The following is a 21,088-nucleotide window of genomic DNA, read 5'->3' as shown; positions in this document are numbered from 1 at the left end:
GTAAATGCATCACAGCTGGCTCTTGGGGAGGGAAAGAGCCCTGATGTATAGCTTCTGACCATTTTCTCAGCAGCTGACCTCAAGGATGGCTGAGATTAACAACAGGCTCACAAATTTCCTGAAAATTTAACTATCAGTTCTTAGAAGTAGTATTCTAAGTGACTTCAAAATACCATTACCTGAGACCCTCTCTGTTTACAAGAATGTTTCTCTCCTGGTGTTTTCATAATAGCTGTCCATTGTTGAGCATTTATGGGTTAGGGTCTGTGCTAATGTTTGACATGCATTATGTCTTTAATTCCTTACAAGAGCTCCATGGGGCTCTTGTTATCCTTAGCAATTAATATTGCCATTTTGCAGATGGGAAAACTGATATTTAAAGAGAGATCAGAAAGCCAAATCCTTCTCTCTCTAAAATTCATACTGTTTTTGTTTGTTTATTTTAAGTTGTGGAATACATGGCGCAGGACGTGCAGGTTTGTTACACAGGTAAACATGCGCCATGGTGGTTTGCTGCACCTATCAACCCATCACCTAGGTATGAAGCTCCACATGCATCAGCTCTTTATCCTGATGCTCTCCCTCCCCAACTCCCTTAACAGGCCCCAGTGTGTGTTGTTCCCCTCCCTGTGTCCATGTGTTCTCATTGTTCAGCTCCCACTTATGAGTGAGAATATGCAGTGTTTGGTTTTCTGTTCCTGTGTTCATTTGCTGAAAAAAAAAATGGCTTCCAGCTCCATCCATTTCCCTGCAAAGGACATAATCTCATTCCTTTTTATGGCTGCATAGTATTCCATGGTGTTTATGTACCACATTTTCTTTATCCAGTCTCGCTGATGGGCATTTGGGTTCATTCCATGTCTTTGCTATTGTGAATCATGCTGCAGTGAACACACACATGCATGTATCTTTATAAGAGAATGATTTATATTCCCTTGGGTATATACCTAGTCATGGGATTGCTGGGTCAAATGGTATTTCTGGTTCTAGATCTTTGTAAAACTCATTCTCTTGAATTTTATACTATACTCTTCCTCTGATCACTGTTAATATTGCTCTCATCATTATTATTCTTGTGATGATCCTTTAGTCTTCAGAACTCTTCCAACCCTGTGCTTCAAAAATGCAAACCAGAGACATGACATGCAGTGGACCCACTGTCCACCTTCAAATATGAAAGGCAGTAAGGGTGGTCGCCTAAACTTATAAGTATGCTTTATTGCTTCAATTTTCAAATTCTTATATTTAATAAAAGGTTAAGAAAGTAAATATGTATGTATATACGTATATTTCTTATAGAGAAAGTACCAACATGTGACTAGGTAAAATGAAAAGGAATCTTCCAGCATTTCTTAAATTTTAGATCCCACAAAGCTTTGAGGGAGAAGTTAGTAGAAACACCTGACTGCTGAATTTTTTTCCTCTTGACTCTCCAAGTCATTCTAAGACAATATCTTTGGTTGGGTTCCCAGGAAGCAGACCCTGAGGTGAGGATTCTTATGCACGGGATTTTTTGAGGGAGCTGTATGAGTCAGCTTGGGCTGCCATAATGAAATACCACAGGCAGGATGGCTTCAACAGAAATGTATTTTCTCATACTTCTGGAGACTGGAAGTTGAAGATCAAGGTATGGGCAGGTCGGGTTTCTTCCGAGGCTCTGTCGTTTGCTTGCAGATGGCTGCCTTCTTGTTGTGTCCTCACATGGCCATTTCTCTGTGCACGTGCACCCCTGGTGTCTCTTTGTGTATCCAGATTTCCTCTTTTCATAAGGACACCAGTCAGCTTGGGTTAGGGCCCAACCTAATGGCCTTATTTTAACTAAGTCCCCTCTTTAAAGGCCCTACCTCCAAATACAGTTGCATTCTGAGGTTCTGGGAGGGAGGGATTCAACATATGAATTTAGGGAGCAGGAGACAACAATTCAGTCCACAACAGGAGTGCACTCAGGAGAAGCCTGTAAGAAAGTGAGGGGAACAGGAGAAGGCAAGAGAAAAGATGTGGCTTCAGCTACAGTCTAGCTTCAGTCTGATCCCACAGGAAGCTCTGGAATATGATAGCGTTAGAGAACGCACCTGAATGCAAGAGAACTGGGCTGTTCCCGGTCTTTTACATGTAGCTGTGGGACCATAAGTTCCCAGGCATTTTCTACCGAGGTTGTTCTTGTGGACCAAGGGAAATTCTTTAGAGAAGGATCTAGCAAAGAGCCTTGAGCAGCCAGCACTGCCAGCAGCTGGGAGATGCAACAGCTGGGTAAATGGGATCTGGGCAGGGCTTCAACAATGTCTATTTCAGACAGGTAACCAAACTAAACTTCTAACAAAAGAACTTCACTTTTGCCTAATCAACCAATCACAGTAATTTTTCAGTATGTTTTCCTGCATGGTAGACCTTAAGACCTAAATTCCTGGTTTAAGATTTCACATCAGCCACAGACTCAAATATTTTGGGTGAAACTGCTGTGAACACTGATAAAGCCACAGAATTTCTTATGTGAGATTGAAATCCACATTTTGCTTCATGACTCTTAAATCTCTACTAGGGCAAGGACTGTGTCTTATTCATTTGTGGGTCCTTAGAAACGAAGGCAGTGCTTGGCACACAGCAGGTGCTTGATAAATGTGCTGATCAGCTAGATGCTTATGAAACCCTCAAGTAAGGTAAGCACCTTGTCCCATTTCACCCAGGACTTTCCCAGTTCTAAAAATAAAAGTCTCATATCCTAGGCATCCCCTCAGTCCCAAGAAAACTAGGACAATTGGTCACTCTATGACTTGAGTCTTTCTCTGTGCTTTTGCATCATTGCTACTTTTGTGACAATCCAATCAATGACTCCATCTTTCCTAAATGTCTCCTAAGAGTTATACTTATTGGCTGGGCACAGTGGATTATGCCGTGTAATCCCAACACTTTGGGAGGCCAAGGAAGGCAGATCACTTGAGGCCAGGAGTTTGACACCAGCCTGGCCGACATGGAAAAACTCCATCACTACTGAAAATACAAAAAAATTAGCCAGGTGTGGTGGTGCACGCCTGAAATCTCAGCTACTCAGGAGGCTGAGGCATGAGAATCACTTGACCCTGGGAGGCGGAGGTTGCAATGAGCTGAGACTGTACCGCTGTACTCCAGCCTAGCTGACAGAGTAAGACTCTGCCTGAAAAAAAATAAAATAAAAATAAAAGAGAACTTATTAGAACTCATAGAACTTATTCAAACAATGCACGTAAGTGTTCCTGCTGCAATTTGGATCATTTTTACTTTTCTCATCTCCAATAGAAACACCACCCAACTACCACAATACTTTGACATAGGAAATTGTAGCCTGTAGTTCTTCCATTCTTTCTTCCTTGTCAAACCCTAGGATAGCCAGTGCTCTTGAGTGAATCTCTGGGTGCCCTGCAGGACATTGCTGCAGGCTTGGAAAAGAAGTCCGAATACATCTAAGGCTCCAGACATTTTTCTTCTTCATCCTCTATATCAAAATGTATCTGTCCCACATCATATTCTCCAGCTAGATAGTGATGACTTTGTCCTCAAAATAACAACGATTTCTTCTAGTTGGAACAAAAAACACTTAAGCACTGGGGCATTTTTTTTGTCTGCTCTTAGACCTTTAACTGTGCTCTACTAGCCAGGATGTGTGGAGTGGCTAACAATATAAACACAGTGCAGACGATCTTAAGGGATGCACAAAATGAAAGGAATGGGAGGTGGAGGTTATTGGTTTGCATAACTAAAAAGTCTGCTCAAGGTAACCGTACACACAGCCGGTGCTCTGTATCTCTCTCCCTCCCAGCTCTTCTCGCCTTGGTGTTACCATCTTTCAGTTTCAGACAAACTCTTTTCATGGGATGAGAAGCCTGTCTCCTGGCCCTCTGACAGGGCCAGGATGTCATCACCCTTGCCATGTACACTGACACAGGACTAAATACCTCCCCCTTGAAAAATCCATACCCAACTCTCTCACAGGGACTCGGGTTGTGCTGGTGGGTCGTGGGGGCATGCATCCACCCTTAACCAGTCATTCTGGCTGAAAATAGTGGGGCCTTCTGATAGTTAGGCTGGGTCACTTGCCTCCTCTGCGGCTGATGAAAGTGTAACTGAGCCACTACCGTAAAAATCATAAGGGATTTGTGTGTGTGTGTGTGTGTGTGTGTGTGTGTGTGTGTGTGTGTGTGTGTGTGTTTAACTTTTCCTTCTTTGTTTTCTTCCAGGCACACTGGCTTGCTCATAGTCATTTCTGTAGAGGGGAGTCACTAGTAATTGATTAACTTCATATCCTAACCCCCCGGGGCTGCTTGCAAGATTCATGAACTTGTTTTTCTTTTAGAGAACAATGATCCTTGGTCATGCAGACCTCCTTGAGAGCATCCAGGAGTTTGACTGGCCTGAGGGATGCAAACAGTTTTGATCATCAAGGGAAGCTCACCTCCTGCCTTACTCATAAAAGCCCCTGGTTATGTTTAAAGGCAGATCAGATTTGAGAGCTCATCTCTCCCATCTTCTTTGGCTTTGGCCAAATCAAATAAACCTTTCTCTGTTCCTAAGCACTGACGTGTCAGTGTTTGGCTTACTGTGCATCAAGTATGCAAACCTAAATTTTGAGGTTCTACAACAAAAGGAAGGGGAGAAGAGAGGAAGGACTAGGTGTGGGGTTGACAAAAACTGAAGCTGTGAAAACCCACCCATCTAGTCCCACATTTCACCTACCTACAGGGCTTTTCTTCATAGCCTTCCTTAACCCGTCATAACATTATCTGGCTAAAGCCCTGTAGCCTTATTTAGAATCTGCTTGAAGAAAGGGATAAAAATATGCTATTAAATCATAATAATAACTGCCTATAAAGAATAAAATGTCAAAGTACACTTGCTTAGGTATCATGCTGCAAACATGAGGGGATGGATGCTCCCTAAAAGGGGGAGATTTTGCTGAACCAGGCTGGGAAAGTTTACAGGTGTTTTGGCAAAGTTTCCCCTGGTTGAGGCCAGAAAGACCTGCCTGCACCCAGCTGCATTCTCCATTCATTCAAACTGCTGGTAGCAACTTCACCCTCTAATTGCCTGTAGTTAGTCATTATGTCTCAGCTGCAAGACTTGGGAATGCCAAGAAGCCAGCACACCCAGAGGTCTTTTGTGTTTTAAATACTTGGACCAAAAAAATTTTTTTTTCCTAATGAAAGCTACCATTTAGACATAGGTGAGCCAATGGACTCTGGTTTGGAAACATTTCAGGCAATCCAACTTTGAAATCCCTGAGGTTCACAGAAGAAACTCAGAGTAGCAGTGTACATAGGAATGAGATTTTACAATCCTCTGAGCTTATTCTTGTGCATGGCACAGACTACAAAATGAGTTAGCCAAATCAGTTAGGGGAATTCAATTCAATTCTATGAACATTAATTGAGCTCTGTTTCAGTGAGAATGCTTTCAGCTGCAAATAACAGCTGAAAGAGCCAATTAAAGCTGGCTTTAAATAATAGGAATTAATTACCTCACATAACAAGAAGTTGGAGATAGGCAGGTCCAGAAATTGGTTAATCTAGCAGCTAAATAATGCCAAGAATATTGGTTGGCTTTTTTGAGATTCCCCTGCAGAGATTATCATGATTTCAATATGGCTGCCACAGCTTCGAACATAACATCGTCACACAACAACATCCAAAAGTAGGAAGGAACGTGGGATTTCTCCATACCCATCTCTTTTTCTAGAATGAGAAATCTTTGTCACAACTCCTTTCAACAGACTTTCTCTTGCATCTCTTTGGAGAGAATTAGATCACATAACCATTCCCAAATTGATAATCCAGAATAGAGGAATACGATAGTCAAAAAGGCTGTAGACCAATCATGATTCATCCCCTAGGTCTGGGCCCACCTTTCTTGAGCATGTTGTCGCCTAAATAAGTTTAGGGATCTGTTGGTAAGGAAGAAAAGGTAAAGCAGTGCCTACTAAGCAGTGTCTTCCCTCAAGCATCTATCTCTGTGCTCTGCACTGGACATGCAAAGATGAACAAACCACAGCCACTATTATAAAGGAGCACACAGTAATACAAGGGGAATGAGCGCCCACAAAACAATTTCTATTATTTGCTTCCCTGCTTAATTATAAAATGGATTGGAAGTGTAAAGAGCTTTGCCAGGTTGTATGTTCTAAAAATGACTACAACAGAACCTTCCATCTCACATGCTCTTCTTACAGTGTGACTTTAACTTTCTGCCCAGTGAAATATGGGGTCTGTATCCCCTCCCTTTGAATCAGGAAGGGCTGATGCTTATGGCTAAGATAACATCATGTGACTTCTAAGGCTAGATCTTAAAAGTTGCCTTGACCTAAAAGTCATATTGACTTTGAAGATCTAGCCTTAGAAGTCACTTGGACACTCTTTGCACACTCCTTCATAGAACCCAGCCACCATGCTGGGAGGAAGCCCAAAGTTCCCATGGAAAGCCCAGCACCAAGTTGTCAGCCATGTGAGCCATCCTTCAGCCCTGGTCGAGCCATTGTAGCTGATGCCCTGTGAAGGAGACAGGCACTGCCCTGACCAAACCACAATTTTTGAGCAAAATAAATGATTATTGTTTCTATAAGCCAAAGTTTGGGGGTAGTTTATCAGATAGCAACAGATGACTGGAACCAAGCTAACATTAGAATTAAGTTTTCAAAATGGCATAAATTAACTACTACCAGAGCACAGAAAAAGAAAAAAATAAATTTTTCCTGGAGAGAAAAGAAAGGGCAATTACAGAGGAAGGGGCTTTAGAGCTTGGTCTCAGAAGATGAATAGAGTCCAGAAGATGGACAACAGAAGGTTAAAAAAGTGGACACACGTGGTGGTTTTGGAAAATGTGGAGTATATGGTGGATATCTGTGAGCTTTGCCTCCTTTGGTAGACCTCACTGTTGATCACCAAGATTTCTGATTCTCCTTTCCATCCAGACACACACCTTCTTGAAGTTAGGTATGGCCATGTGACTTGTTTTGGCCAGTCAATCATCATAGGAAGTGTCATGAGTCTCTTTTGGTGAAATATTTAGGAGCCTGTACACAATTTCCCCATTCTGTTGACTTCAATCTTGAGGCCTCCTGCTGAGATAGTGATATCATAAGATTGTGGAGTTTCTGTGAGCCTGAGTCCCTGAGTGTAACGTAGATTTCTTGAAAAAAAAAAAAAAAAAGTTGTGCCCTTGTTTTATTTTGTTTTGAGGCAGAGTCTTGCTATGTTGCTAGGCTGGAGTGCAGTGGCTATTCACAGGTGTGATTATAGCACACTACAGCCTCAAACTCAAGGCTTTGAGCCATCTTCCACCAGCTGCCTTAACCCAGTTTTGAGGCCCTGTCCAAAAGCCAGACAGTTCCCTTCTAGGACAGTCAATTAAGGCCATACCCCAACCACCTGCTGTATCAGACTCTCATGCTCCAGGCCACTATATACCCACCCTAATTACCCCAGGGCCAAGTACTCTACAACCAAGGACAGCCTCTATACTCCAGAGCCACTGAAATCATTCAAATTAGCCACTCCTATGTCTGCATGCCCTGCCTTACCCTCTCCTTCCCACAGAAACCACAATAGTGCCCACAGTTCCCTCATATTCCTCTGCATCATGACTGACCAAGGTGCATCCCCCAAGTGGTTCTTCATGGGGTGCTATGTTCTCCCAGGGAGCTGTATTTCTTCTCTTGATTTGCATCTGCTCTCGTCAAACCTCATCCATGGTAATAGAGTTAAAACACGGAGTTGCTATGACAAGCTCCAGTCCCCTGCTAACCTGCACTAGGCATGTCACTAGTGCAGTAAGTTCAACTTTACTGCCTTAAGCCATTGAGGTCTTGAGGTTGTTGGTTACTGTAGTATCAGCCCACCCTGACTGAGTACTGCCCAGTCTCATCTTCCCAATTCCCTTCTCAATTTTCTTTAGGAAATCATTGCTCTCTGACTCATGTGGTTCCGATGTGTTGATTCCATTCTCTTGCTCCAGGATAAAACATGTCACCCAAGCCCAGAAAATCAGCACAATTCATCTGTCTTTAAAAAGTATCCAGAATCCAGCCACTTACTTCCATCTTCACTATCCTAGCCCATGCCAACATCATTTCATCACTGGATAACCACACCTGCCTCTTATCTGGCTTCCACAGTCTCTTCTACAGTCAATTTTCAATGTAATAATCAGAGGGGTTACTATGAAATCAGTTTTGAAACATAACTCGCTTCATTTTATTCCTGCTTAAAACTCTCCTAGACTACCCATCTTACTTGGGAAAAGCCACAGTCCTTACAGTAATCAGCAAAGTCCTATCTGACTGGCTATCTGTTACTCCCCTGTCTTCTCCTCTTTCTTTCTCCCAGCTCACTTCATTTCAGTCACATTGGCTGTCTTATTCTGTTTGTGCTGCTGTAACAAAATATCTGAGACTGAGTAATTGATAAATAACAGAAATTTATTGCTTACAGTTCTGGAGGCTGGGAAGTCCGAGATAAAGACGCCAGCATGTTTGGTGTTTGGCTAAGGCCCATTCCTCATTATAGCACCTTCTGGGTGTCTTCACAAGGCAGAAGGTAAAAGGGCGCAAAGGATCTGAGCTAGTTCCCTCCCACCCTTTTAGAAAGCACTAATTTATTCATGAGGGCAGAGCCTTCATGACTTAATCACTCCCCAAAATGCCCCACCTCTTAATCCCACCACAATGGGAATTAAGTTTCAACATGTGAATTCAAGGTGGAGAGGGGACATTTAGACCCTAGCACTGGCCTCCTTGCTTTTCACAAATATGCCAGGCTTGCCCCTGTCTCAGTCCTTGGTACTAGCCATTCCCTCTACCTGAAGCACTCTTCCCCCATATATGATTCACTCCTTCATCTCCTTCCAATCTTCATTCAGATGTCACTTTCTGGGAGAAGCCTCTGTAACACCCAAAAGAAAACTCCAGTCTGTGACTCCCACAGTGTTCCCCATCCTTCTTCCTTAGTTTATTGCTGATCATAGCACCATCTGCAATGCCATATGTTTTAGTCATCCGGCTTCACTAGAATATAAACTGCATGAGAGCAGGGACTTTTACCTGTTGTATTCACTACTGTATTCCCAGGGTTAGGAATAGTATTTAGCACATAAAAACTGTCATAAATATTTGTGGAATAAATGATAGAATAAATGAATGAATTCCATCTCTTTAAGCACGGTTATTCAATCAAGAATAGGCATATGACCCAAACCAGACCAAGACTTTTTAATTTCAGAGACTCTGGTTGGCATTACTGGAAATTTGTGACAGAGACTGACAGCAATCAACAAATTCATGAGCTCCTGCCCGTGGTGTGAAATTGTGGCTAGAAAGCAGTTATTCAGTCTGGGGCTACGTTTTCCAGCCCTTCCTGTGTCCATATTTGGTCATGTAGTCAATTCTCACTAAAGGGAGTTGAGGGAAGGTACAGAGTAAACATTCTTTAAAAAATGATTGCGGTTTCTCCACGCTTTGCTTCCCCATTTGCTAAGTAAAGAAAACTCTGAACCCTAAAGGATGGTGGGCCCTGAATCATTCCATGGAGAAAAGTCATTCACTAACAAGGAACAGCTGCATCCAGATGTCATAAGAGAAAACAAATAAGCTCTTTTTGCTAATCACGAAGACAATTAATTTTAAGAAGTTGCATCTTACAGCAGCTAGCATTATGCCAACAAATTCAAACTGGCTGCTGAGAGTATAGTGTGTAAGCCTGGGGATATCAAGGGCTACTGAGATAGGGAGATGAGAGGTTCTGCCTGGGAAGAACCTCCCTGAACTCACTGATCACAGAGGAAAGCAGATGTGGGGAGACAGCAGATTCACAACGACATCATTTGAGCCCCTGGATGAACTTAGTTCTACCAGTGAACTCTTTCCATTATCTGAACCAATAAATAATCCTTTTTCACTCAAGCCAGAGTGAGGTGAGTTTTCTATTACTCATAACAGAAAGTCCTGACTGATAGCAAGTAGGTGGAGAAAGGTGGAAAAAGAAGATCCAAATGGAGTTTAAGACAAGATCGTGGTGGACCTTGACCACCTAAGAACTTTGGAACTTATAAGCCATTGGCTTTTGTCAGAAAGGCACCAGATGAGGATCTGAGAATCTGAAACATCTTATTACAGAACCAGCAACAGCCATTGCTCTTTTCCGAAGGTGTAATCCACATCAGAACTCAAATTTTTTTCTTGCCTACTGGAAGCAACCTGTTCTCACTCCATATGCCCTTCTGAACCTATCCTGTACTTCTACAATTTTCCGCTATGATTGAAATATTTTAAACTTTAAAAGACAGAAAGAAAATTGGGGTCCAATTTTCTTCAAGCAATGGGGATCTTGAGCACTTTCAAGAGTGTCACTGAAGACCAAGAACTCGTCCACCAGTCACTAACGCTTCAGGTCAATAATCTTGCTGACAGCTGTTGTGGAACAGAGTATTCCAACCCACTTGGGATTGGTTTTAAAGCTATTTAAATTCCTAGAATGTTACAACTGAAGGAAGCTTTCCTCCTGTGTGATGTAGCTGATGTTTCTTAACCTCTCTGTGCTTGAATGTCCACATCAATATAGTGAATATTAAACAGGTTGTTGTAAAAAAAAAAAAATATGTTACATGTAAAGCACTTAGAAATGTGTGTCTTATATAATAATCAATCAATTTAGCTATAATTTTTATTATGATTTGTTTTTATTATCTATCTTTTCATTATTATTTATCTTTCATTATTATTATTGATTAATTGAGTGCATACTATACACCTGGCTCTGGTTCTGAAACAGACGATGTTTCAGATGATACCAGGGATATAGCAGTAAGCAGATATGTTCCTTGCCTTCATGAAAGTTACAGTCTAATAAAAGAAATGGGCAAGAAGATAATTATGCAGATAGGTACTAAGTTACAACAGGAATAAATGCTACCATGAGCATATACCAAAGTGTAACAGACACTGTCAAGCCTTGAGTGGCCTACTCATGTTCTCCTGGCCCACCCAGAATCAGATTGTGTTGAACTTCCTCATACTTATTTTAAAACTTAATGTTGCTTTTTCTTAGAATCACACATAGTAGTTAAAGTGGGGATTGGCATAATCTTTTTCAGAGCTTAAGACCTCCTAAAGATTTAACAAAGCAGAGAAAGAAAGACAGAATTCTCTTTTAATAAGGGCTAATCCAAATTATGTTACTATAATGAAAATTTCTTGAAATAACTGGTTTCTTAATGGACATTCAGAAATCTTAAGAAACAAACACAAATTGTTCTAGGGGCACATTAAAAATGGAAGCTTGACACCCTTGTCGGCAGGCAGGTAGACATAAGGAAAATGCAATATGAGTGAGTGATTATTCCCTGGGAAGTCTAGTGCACGTTAGTTTATGGGAAAGATAGCAAAAGCAGAACAGATGAGGCAACTAGGTAAAGGCAAAAACTTTTCCCTAAGTTACTTGACATTTTATAGTCTTAGACACAAGGCAAGCAACACTCATTATCTCATTATTTCCTATGGGACAATCCAGTTCAGTCAATTATCATTAAAATTTAACTAGAAATTCAATACATTATGCAAATGTTCCATTTATATACTGTCATGTCAAGCCAGTACTGAAATGTAGCTGTAGTTAAAAGGTGTAGATGAAACCCTGGTTCTCTTCCAGAGACATTTCAAAAACAATGAATGACACTCCCTAGCCCAAGCACGATAGAATAAATCTCACAGATAGTTAGGGTCATGTTACCAGAATGGCAAGAGACTGATTGTCAGTCTTCTTTTTTCTAAAGAAATTGAAGTGTAATTACTAGTTACTTCCAAAGAGCAGCATGACTTTTTGTGTCACTTACCAGGAACAAATATGTAAGAATAAGACACACCATCCAGTCTCAATGCAGGACAGAGAAATACGAGCCTCCCAGAAGAGGAGTTGGGCCAGGGTATAGGTAGAAATTCTAGGAAACAAGCCATATTTTAGAAATGGAAGGAAAGAGAGATGCTGTCCACCCTGGTGCAAACCCACATATTCCAGACTACAGTGATTCACTGTACATCAAGTAGGCCAGGTCTTTGCTAGTGCGGTTCCCACTGCCTACAATGCCCTTCCATTATCTTGCCTTGAAAACACCAAACTGTTGGCTGTGGGAACCCAAATGAGTCATTTAACCTCTGATGGAGGTGATTACAGTAACCACTTGACTGGCTTAATGGGAGGAGTAAATACAATATTGTATTTAAGTATCTACCACATTGCCTAGAGCACAATAAATTCTCAATCAATGTTTATATTCATAACAATTAATTAAAATGTATCAAGAGCTGACCTTGAACAGCACACTGTTCAAAGGGCTTTACGTTATTGCTTTATTTAATACTTAACCTTGATTAGCTAGGCACCATTATGCAAATGAGGAAACTAAGGTGCAGAGAGCTGAATTAACCTGCCCAAGGTCACACAGCTAGTAAATGATGGAACTGGGATCTCTGACTTAAAGAATCAGGAAATATGTAAGAATGGTGATCAACAGCAAATTGGCAGATGAACCACTGCTGAGAGTGGCTTCCAACTCAAAGAAGAGAAGGAGATTTGAGAAAAACATAGCACAGTATAGCACAGAGTCCTAAGTCAACAAAATGAGATAGAAATGCGGTATAGCTAGAGACCTGCAATTGCCTTCACAAAGTCTACTGTGAAAATATGTTTCTGCTCTCCCTTGGATCTTTATTTTAACTGTGTAGCCGTACACTTGAGTTCTGTTCTAGGCTGAAGTCGTTTTTAGAAATAGACAAGGTATAAATTAAAAATAAATGCCCACATACATATTGGATGAGAACCACCTGGTTTAATAGCAGCTTACAAGAAATGAATTTAAAGGTTTTAGCTGACTGCAAGTTTATTTTGAATCAGCAGTGTGAGGAGGCACTCAGAAAAAAGACTTTGATCTTGAAGACACATCCATAGAAGCTAAGTGTCCTAAACAAGAGAGGTGAAAGCCCTTCTTTACTTTCACCCAACCTCAGGTGTTTGGTTCTGAAGACTGCATCTGAGGACGGATGCTGGCCGACTGAAGTGTGTCCCAAAGAAGGCGACATTAACAGGAAAGATTCTTAAAACCCTGTCATATGAAGATGGGCTACACTTAGAGAACAGGAGAGTTAGAGGAAATACGATCTAGAGAAAGAATAGATAAGTTGTAGGATTTCTCTGCAAGGCTCCAGGGGACAGAGCCTAGAGCCGGAAGCTAAAGGAAAAATGATTCCAGCCCAATATGAAGAAAAATTGTCTAAAAAAAACAAAATGAGCCACATGTAAAGGACCAGACCCTGGAAACCAGGTTACAAATGGTCACGAATGGTTAGGGCAGATACAACTCCTTACCGTGGCTTGCAAGGCCCTATGTGTCAGGTCCTTACTTGCCTCTCCGGAACCCATGGTTTGCCAGGTTCTTCCCTGTCTCTGCATCCCTCCCCTCTGCCCTTAATCAGTCCTTCATATACAAATTGATTTGTTCCATCACTGGCCATTTGCTCATGATTTCCCTCCATCTAGAATGTTTTTCCATTCCCTCATCACCTTGTTCATTCTTCCTCATTCTTCAGATCGCCTATTAAGAGTCACTTCCTCTAGGCTGGGTGTGGTGGCTCACGCCTGTAATCCCAACACTTTGGGAGGCCGAGGTGGGCAGATCACTTGAGGCCAGGAGTTCAAGACCAGCCTGGCCAACATGGTGAAGCCCCATCTCTACTAAAAATACAAAATTAGCTGGGTGTGGTGGTGTGCGCCTGTAATCCCAGCTACTTGGGAGGCTGAAGCAGGAGAATAGCTTGAACTTGGGAGGCCGAGGTTGCAGTGAGCCAAGATCACACCATTGCACTCCAGCCTGGATGACAGAACGAGACTCCGTCTCAAAAAAAAAAGCAGTCACTTCCTCTAAGGATTTATCTGACACCCCAGATTACGCTCATCCCCATTTGGGGCCTCTCAGAGACCTGTTTATCTTACTATTAGAGTTTTGTGTTTTTATGTCACTTTTTATTGTTTATTATACACACAGACACACACATGCACACACAAACACATATAAACTCCATGAAAACAGTCATCTTGTCTTGTTCACTGCTGTGTTCCCAGATCCTTGTACTTAGTATGTTTTCAATATATATCTCTGTTAAATGGATGGACAGTCAGGTGGGTGGACATATGAATGGAAAGATGGATGAGATGTACACACAAAGTTCCTGCACATATGTGAGAATGGATTATGTAAAATTTTATAAGAAATTTTTCATCAACGTATATCCAACACACAGAGAAGTACATGAGTGGATTAAATAAATGTTTATGGCCTTTCAAATTCTAATTACATGTGTCACTGCCGTTTTGTTGTTCTTGTCTCAATCTACTATTTCAAAATATCTGGAAACTTAGTATCCCCAAAGGCATTCATATTTTTCCTTGACTTCTCGCTCGAATCCCACCAAAATTGTACTGCACTGCTCCCTTGAGCCACCTTTATAACTGCCACTGATATTTGAAGTTATTGAAGCAATAAGATAGTGCTTTAGCCCCTAGACTTCGCACTGCCTAGGAGTCACACTGCTTTCCATGCAGAAGGAGGAAGGCCTTTCTCCTTGCTTTAGGGCACATGCTGTCCAACGGTTCCAAAGAGAAATGCTGGCAGCCAAGGGTATTACAGAGTTTAGTGGAATAGCTCCATTGAGTCAGAGCTCACAGGACACACACCCCCACATACACAAAAACAAAACCACAGAGAGGCTGGTCTTAGAAGCTGATTCAATTATAAAAACCAAGAACTGCATGCCAACTCACTTCCCAACAATCAAAGCCATGTCATTGTACCAGGAACCCTCTTTCTTCAAGATCAATGTTATTCCGTTAAGCTCCTTGATCCTTCCTGAAAATATACCTATGTAGGGGCTGCCCCACCGGTTCATCCAGGATGTCCAGAAATGCCCCAGCCTGAGCAGTGGTGAAGCTGAGAGTCAGCTGGAACTCCCTGCTACAGAGGCATCACTACCTGCCCAGCTTTGAAACATCGAGCCAAAGAATGCCTGACATGGATTCAGCTGCAGGCACTATATAAAACGAAATAATACTTAAGAAGTCCTACCATCTCATAAATCGATCTTGCCACCTCCACTGTCCATTCTTCACCAACCCCAAGTGGCAGCACCTGCTTTTCAAATCTGGAGGCAGAAGGTAGAGTGAGGTCCTGTCCTGGGCCTGTTTGCCTTGGGTCCATGCTCCCGCTTCCCTGCTCTGTTCTGTATCCCAGCAGGACTGCAGGCTATGCTTCCCAGGCTGCCACTGCAGCTTGCTTCTTGCTGGGTTTGGCCAATGTGCGGCACTGGTAAAAGACTGAAAAGCAGGAAGCGGGAGAAGCTGGGGCATTTTTCCCAGGCATCTCCGGCAGTGATTGTATTTCCTTCACGCCGTTAGTTCACTCTAGACAGGGCCACCATGACCCAGCTTGCTCAGGCGACTCCAGTTCCCCCAGGCTTGAATTGTACTCTCTCCTCCCTTTGTCCCTCTGGCCTCGGGATGGTAGGGGCTTCCTATGACTTTCATCTCTGGTTGCCTCACTGTCCCTTGCTTCTTGGCATCTCAGCCTTTCCTTGTTTTTGGAGACAGACTCTCGCTCTGCAGCCCAAGCTGGAGTGCAGTGGTGTGATCTCGGCTCACTGCAGCCTTCACTTCCCGAGTTCAAGTGATTCTCATGCCTCAGCCTCCGAAGTAGCTGGGATTACAGGTGCCCGCCACTAAGCTAGGCTAATTTTTGTATTTTTAGTAGAGATGGGGTTTTGCCATGTTGGCCAGGCTGCTTTCAAACTCCTGGCCTCAAGTGATCTGCCTGCCTTGGCCTCCCAAGTGCTGGGATTACAGGCTGGAGCCACTGCACCTGGCCCGCATCTCAGCCTCCTTATTGCCTATGTATCCCATTGTCTCCATGAAAGGCCTTCCATATTAAATATTCAAGTAATTTTTGTTTCCTGGCTAAACCATGACTAGCGTCAATACCTAAGGGAATAAATCGTCACTCTTTACCCCATGATTGTGTAGATAGTTAGTAATAATGAGCTTTGATGACTTTATATTCACCTCTGATTCAATATATGGAATATGCAGCTTGAATAGTGAACTCTCTTGGTCCCTAGCAGTTTTCAGTTAGGGGATGGGCTATGTATTTAGGGGATTTATTTTAGCCAGACACTAAGATGCATCATTTTAAAATTCCTTTGCTTCCCCTGATGCAAACTTAATCTTGAGAGATGCTTTAAGAGTTTCCTAACTTGTCTAACTTGTCTCTCTGCTCCTACTCTTGACTTCTCAGTCATCTATCTTTGACATAGCAGCCCAAATAAGGCTTTTAAAAATGCACATTGGCCAGGCGCAGTGGCTCTTGCCTATAATCCCAGCATTTGCTAAGGAAAGCAGATTGCTTGAGCTCAGGAGTTCAAGACCAGCCTGGGCAACATAGCGACACCCTGTGTTCACAAAAAAATTAAAAAGTAGCCAAACATGATGGCGCATGGCTGTAGTCTCAGCTGCTTGGGAGGCTGAGGCAGGAGGATCACTTGAGCCTGCGAGTTCAAAGCTGCAGTAAGCCATGATTACACCACTGCACTCCAGCCTCCAGCAAGACCCTATCGCAAACAAACAACAATTAAAAAAACACATTGGATCATGTCACTCCCCTGCTTAAAGCCTTCCACCATGACTTCCCATTGCACTCGGAATAAAATCCAAACAGCGTCCCCTGTGCTCTACATGGCCCCCTATTATCTGCTGCTTGCCTATCCCTGCCTCCACATCTCCCACCTCTGCATCTCCCTGGCTCATTGGCTCCTTTCTGGTCATCACATTCCCAGTTCATTTGTGACCTGGGGACTTCATAATGTGCTGCCCTCTACTCCCAGAACTTCATATGGCTGTCTTGTCTCGCCATTCAAGTCCAACCTAAATTACCTCTGTACCCCTCAGTCATTTTCTATATTTTCAACCTTTTTTTCCCCCATAGCACCAGCAATCAACAATAATCAGCTGCTTCATTTATTGGTTTCCTCATGTGAGAGCACAACCCCTACTGTATCCCCTACTTATTCCCCTACTTATCATCTTATCTTATTCCCCGACTGTATCCCCAGCATTTAGAAGAGTTAAGACACATAGATATTTGTTGAATTAATGACCAAATCTGCATTTCTCAGATAAGAAGACTGAAGCCCACTCGTGTTTAGTAACATGTGTAAGGTCTCTCAGTCTAAGATCTGATGCTATACCTTTTTGGGCACTGCTATTCCAGACCTTCCAATGCTAGGGCCAAGAATTTACACAGAATAGACAAGAGATCAGCCCCTCCTTGAACTCTTCTGCGGAATATTTATTTAAGAATATACTGCCTCTTAGTATTTTATATCTCCATGAACTTTGGCCTTATGAAAACCAAGTAAATAAACAACCACTATTAGCTCTACATTGAATTTCTTTGTGAATATACTCATTGTTGAAATGTGATTTTCCTGGTGATAGATCCTCGTCTAAATGAGTATATGTTTGTATCTCTACACAAATGTTTATAGATATATACATCCTCTGCCCACTCTTTCACTTGCCCATGGCAATTGGCTCTTGAATTTTTATCTGGCGGAAAGACCCACCATGGTGCTATGTTCTGTTCAAAGATGTTTCCCTCGAGGTCCTGGTAGTTCTTGTTATAATTTGACATCAAAAAATAAATAACAAAGAATTACTCAGCAGGCTTAGGAATCCTATCCACCTCAGCTGAGCTCCAAATCATGCCAAGAATCTAAAAGGTCTGACAGAGCTCCCAGCATATTCTTCAGGGGAACTAAATGAAGTATACCACACACATGCCAGTGGCCAGGCTCACGGAGAGCAGCGCTGTCATGGCTCATCTGCCAAAGGCAGGAAAAAAGGGCTGGATGTAGATTTCAAGATCAAGTGCTGCTCATGGAACTGAACTCTGAAGATATTCCTGGGGGCAGCCAGGAGAACAGGTCTAAGGTAATCATATTTTCCCAGACTGCAAATTAGGACACACAAGCACAGAAGAGAATGTTTCTTTTTTGTTTTGGTGTATGTGTGTATTGATTCTATGTATCTAAAGAAGCCAGTAAAATTTAGAATTAACCTCAAATTGTTGGATTTTCCAGGACCTTGGAAAGGCTTGGTTTCTGGGAGATAAATGGAAAGTACATCTTTAAACAGGGTTGTCTAAAAAAAAAAAAAATGCTATTTTTGCATCCCTGTGCCTACCTTTAACTCAGTTCCTAAAAGAGACCCAAAGATTTACACTTTGATCCAGGTGCAGTGGCTCATGCCTGTAATCCCAGCACTTTGGGAGCCCGAGGCAAGTGGATCACCTGAGGTCAGGAGTTCAAGACCAGCCTGGCCAACATGACAAAACCCGAAACCCCATCTCTACTAAATACAAAAATTAGCTGGGTGTGGTGGCACGCACCTGTAATCCCAGATACTCAGGAGGCTGAGGCAGGAGAATTGCTTGAACCTGGGAGGTGGAGGTTGCAGTGAGCCGAGACTGAAACATCGCACTCAAGCCTGGGCAACAGGGCAAGACGCCATCTCAAAAAGAAAAAAAAAAAAAGGATTTCCACTTTGTGCAAAGAAACTTTCAATGGTTCAACTTGCCTGCAAACTACACTGGAAAAATTTTAGGCCAAAATTGAGGACTCTTTCTACCCTACAAACCTAACTTTATCCCCTTTTTCAAACTGTATTAGTCAGCATAGACTAGGCTTATGCTGCAGTAGCAAATAAACCTCAGATCACAGCCTATTCACTTGGTATATTTCTTGCTTAAACTACACATCCAGCAGAAATGCCCAGGGTGCCCTGCATCACAGATGTACTCAGGGACTCTGGCCGGCAAAGGTTCCGTGACCTCGTCGTGGCACATCTAGAACACAAATCTGCCCACTTGGTTGACACTGCAACGAAAGGGGCTGGAAAATTGTGGACAAGTTTTTCAATGCCTGATCCCAGAAGTGATGCGTGTCCCTTCAGGTCATGCTTCTTCGGCCTGTAGTAATCATGTGGCCTCGCCTACCTGCACGGAGGGCTGGGACATGGAGAAGGAGCGATGCAATATGGAGTGAGACTTCTTGGCAGCGCCCTGCAAACCCTCCAGCCTTCAAGAAGAATTGACTACTTATTTAAAAGCCCCTTAGAATCAGGCAGAACTAGGCTCAGCTCCCAGCTCCTCCACTTAATTCCTGGCATGACTTTTGACTATCTAAACCTTCTAAGCCACAGTTTCTTCGTGTATGGAATGGAGGAATAATAATAATACATATGCCATCAAGTTACTGTTAGAATTAAATGAGCAGATTTATGTAAAGTGCTCAGAACGGTGTCTGATACATAGTGAGTCCTCAATACATGGTATTTATGATGATGAAAATGAAGAACATGATGATGATGATGCTATTCTATTCCATAATCATAGCACCTTTAGGAATTTGTTGCCTGAGCCTTTCTGATGTCCATGTCCTCAGTACTAACATAGTATCTGGCCTGCAATAGATACTCAGAAATGTTAAACTTTTGTTGAACTTAGCTGACATGTTGACTTAGCTGACATCTCAATACTTCTTGAGTATTCTCCCCTCTAAGCCATAGTTCTTTTGCTCTTGCTATTTCCCTCAACCAGAATGCCCTGCTAACATCTCTCTGCCTTTTCTTTCTGTCTTTCTTTCTGTCTTTTTTGAGACAGGGTCTTGCTCTGTTCCCCAGGCTGGATGATACAATTATCACAGTTCACAGTAGCCTTGACCTCCCAGGCTCAAGTGATCCACCCCTCTCAGAATCCCAAGTAGCCGGGACTACAGGAGTACACTACTGCACCCAGCTAATTTTTGTTTTGTTTTGTTTTTGTAGAGATGTGTTTTTGCCATATTGCCCAGGCTGGTCTCGAACTCCTAGGCTCAAGCAATCCATCCACCTCAGCCTCCCAAAGTGCTGATATTACAGGCGTGAGCTACCGTGCCTGACTATCTCTCTACCTTTACAGTGCTGCTCCTCCTTCAGTCCTTCTCCACCACAAAGCTTCAACGAGTGACATTAGTCCTGCAGGCCCCTATTTCCCTTTCCTCAGAAGTTCTACTTCTTTTCTTGTCAATAATGGCCCTGATTATTTGACTATCTCACATTCAACATCTTGGTCCTCCAACAAGAATCTAGGCCTCTTAGAAGTAGAGACTGCATATTTTGGACTCCCAGTAACAATTCATAACAATAACAATAATAATAAATATTATTCTTTAGCATCTATAAGCCAATGACTATATGACAGCATTTCTCAAACTTTAGCATGCCTCAGAGTCACTGGGAGGGCTTATTAATACACAGATTGCTGGCCAGGTGCAGTGGCTCACGCCTGTAATCCTAGCACTTTGGGAGGCCAAAGCAGGTGGATTGCCTGAGGTCAGGAGTTCGAGACCAGCCTGGGCACCATGGTAAAACCCCGTGTACGCTAAAAATACAAAAAATTAGCCGGACACGGTGGTGTGTGCCTATAATCCCAGCTACTCGGGAGGCTGAGGCACAAGAATCGCTTGAATCTGGGAGGTGGAGGTTGCAGTGAGCTGAGATTGCGCCACTGCGCTCCAATCTGGGCGACAGAGCGAGGCTGCGTCTCAAAAAAAAAAAAAAACAACAACACACACACACACACACACACACACACACATACACACACAGATTGCTAGGCCCAACCCCCCAGAGTTACTGATTCAGTAGATCTGGGGTGGGACCTGAGAATCTGCATTTCTTTTTTTTTCTCCCCCTCCTATTGTAAGAATTTGCCTTTCTAAGGTGTTACTAGGTGATGCTGATGCTGATCAGCTGGTCCAGTGACTACACTTTGAGAACCACTGTTCTACACGATGTTTTACATTTGACATTATATTTAATCCTCACAACCAGCCTTTAAGGCAGACCATGCTTCCTCATAGAGAGTTGAAGAACAACTCTCTATGAAGTTGAAGAAGCTCAAATCGCACGGCCAGGTTCACCCTGCTGGGAAGCAG

General features: G+C 42.6%; 1 pseudogene; it reads right to left on the bottom strand.

The window, feature by feature from the left end:
• Positions 1 to 20,676, bottom strand: part of LOC124906205 (UPF0764 protein C16orf89-like) — a 79,830-nt pseudogene extending 59,154 nt beyond the window's left edge.
• Between the last annotated feature and the right edge of the window lie 412 nt (positions 20,677 to 21,088).

The sequence above is a fragment of the Homo sapiens genome, chromosome 3 (assembly GCF_000001405.40).
Source record: "Homo sapiens chromosome 3, GRCh38.p14 Primary Assembly".
NCBI lineage: Eukaryota > Metazoa > Chordata > Mammalia > Primates > Hominidae > Homo > Homo sapiens.
This window is presented reverse-complemented; position numbering and strand designations above follow the sequence as displayed.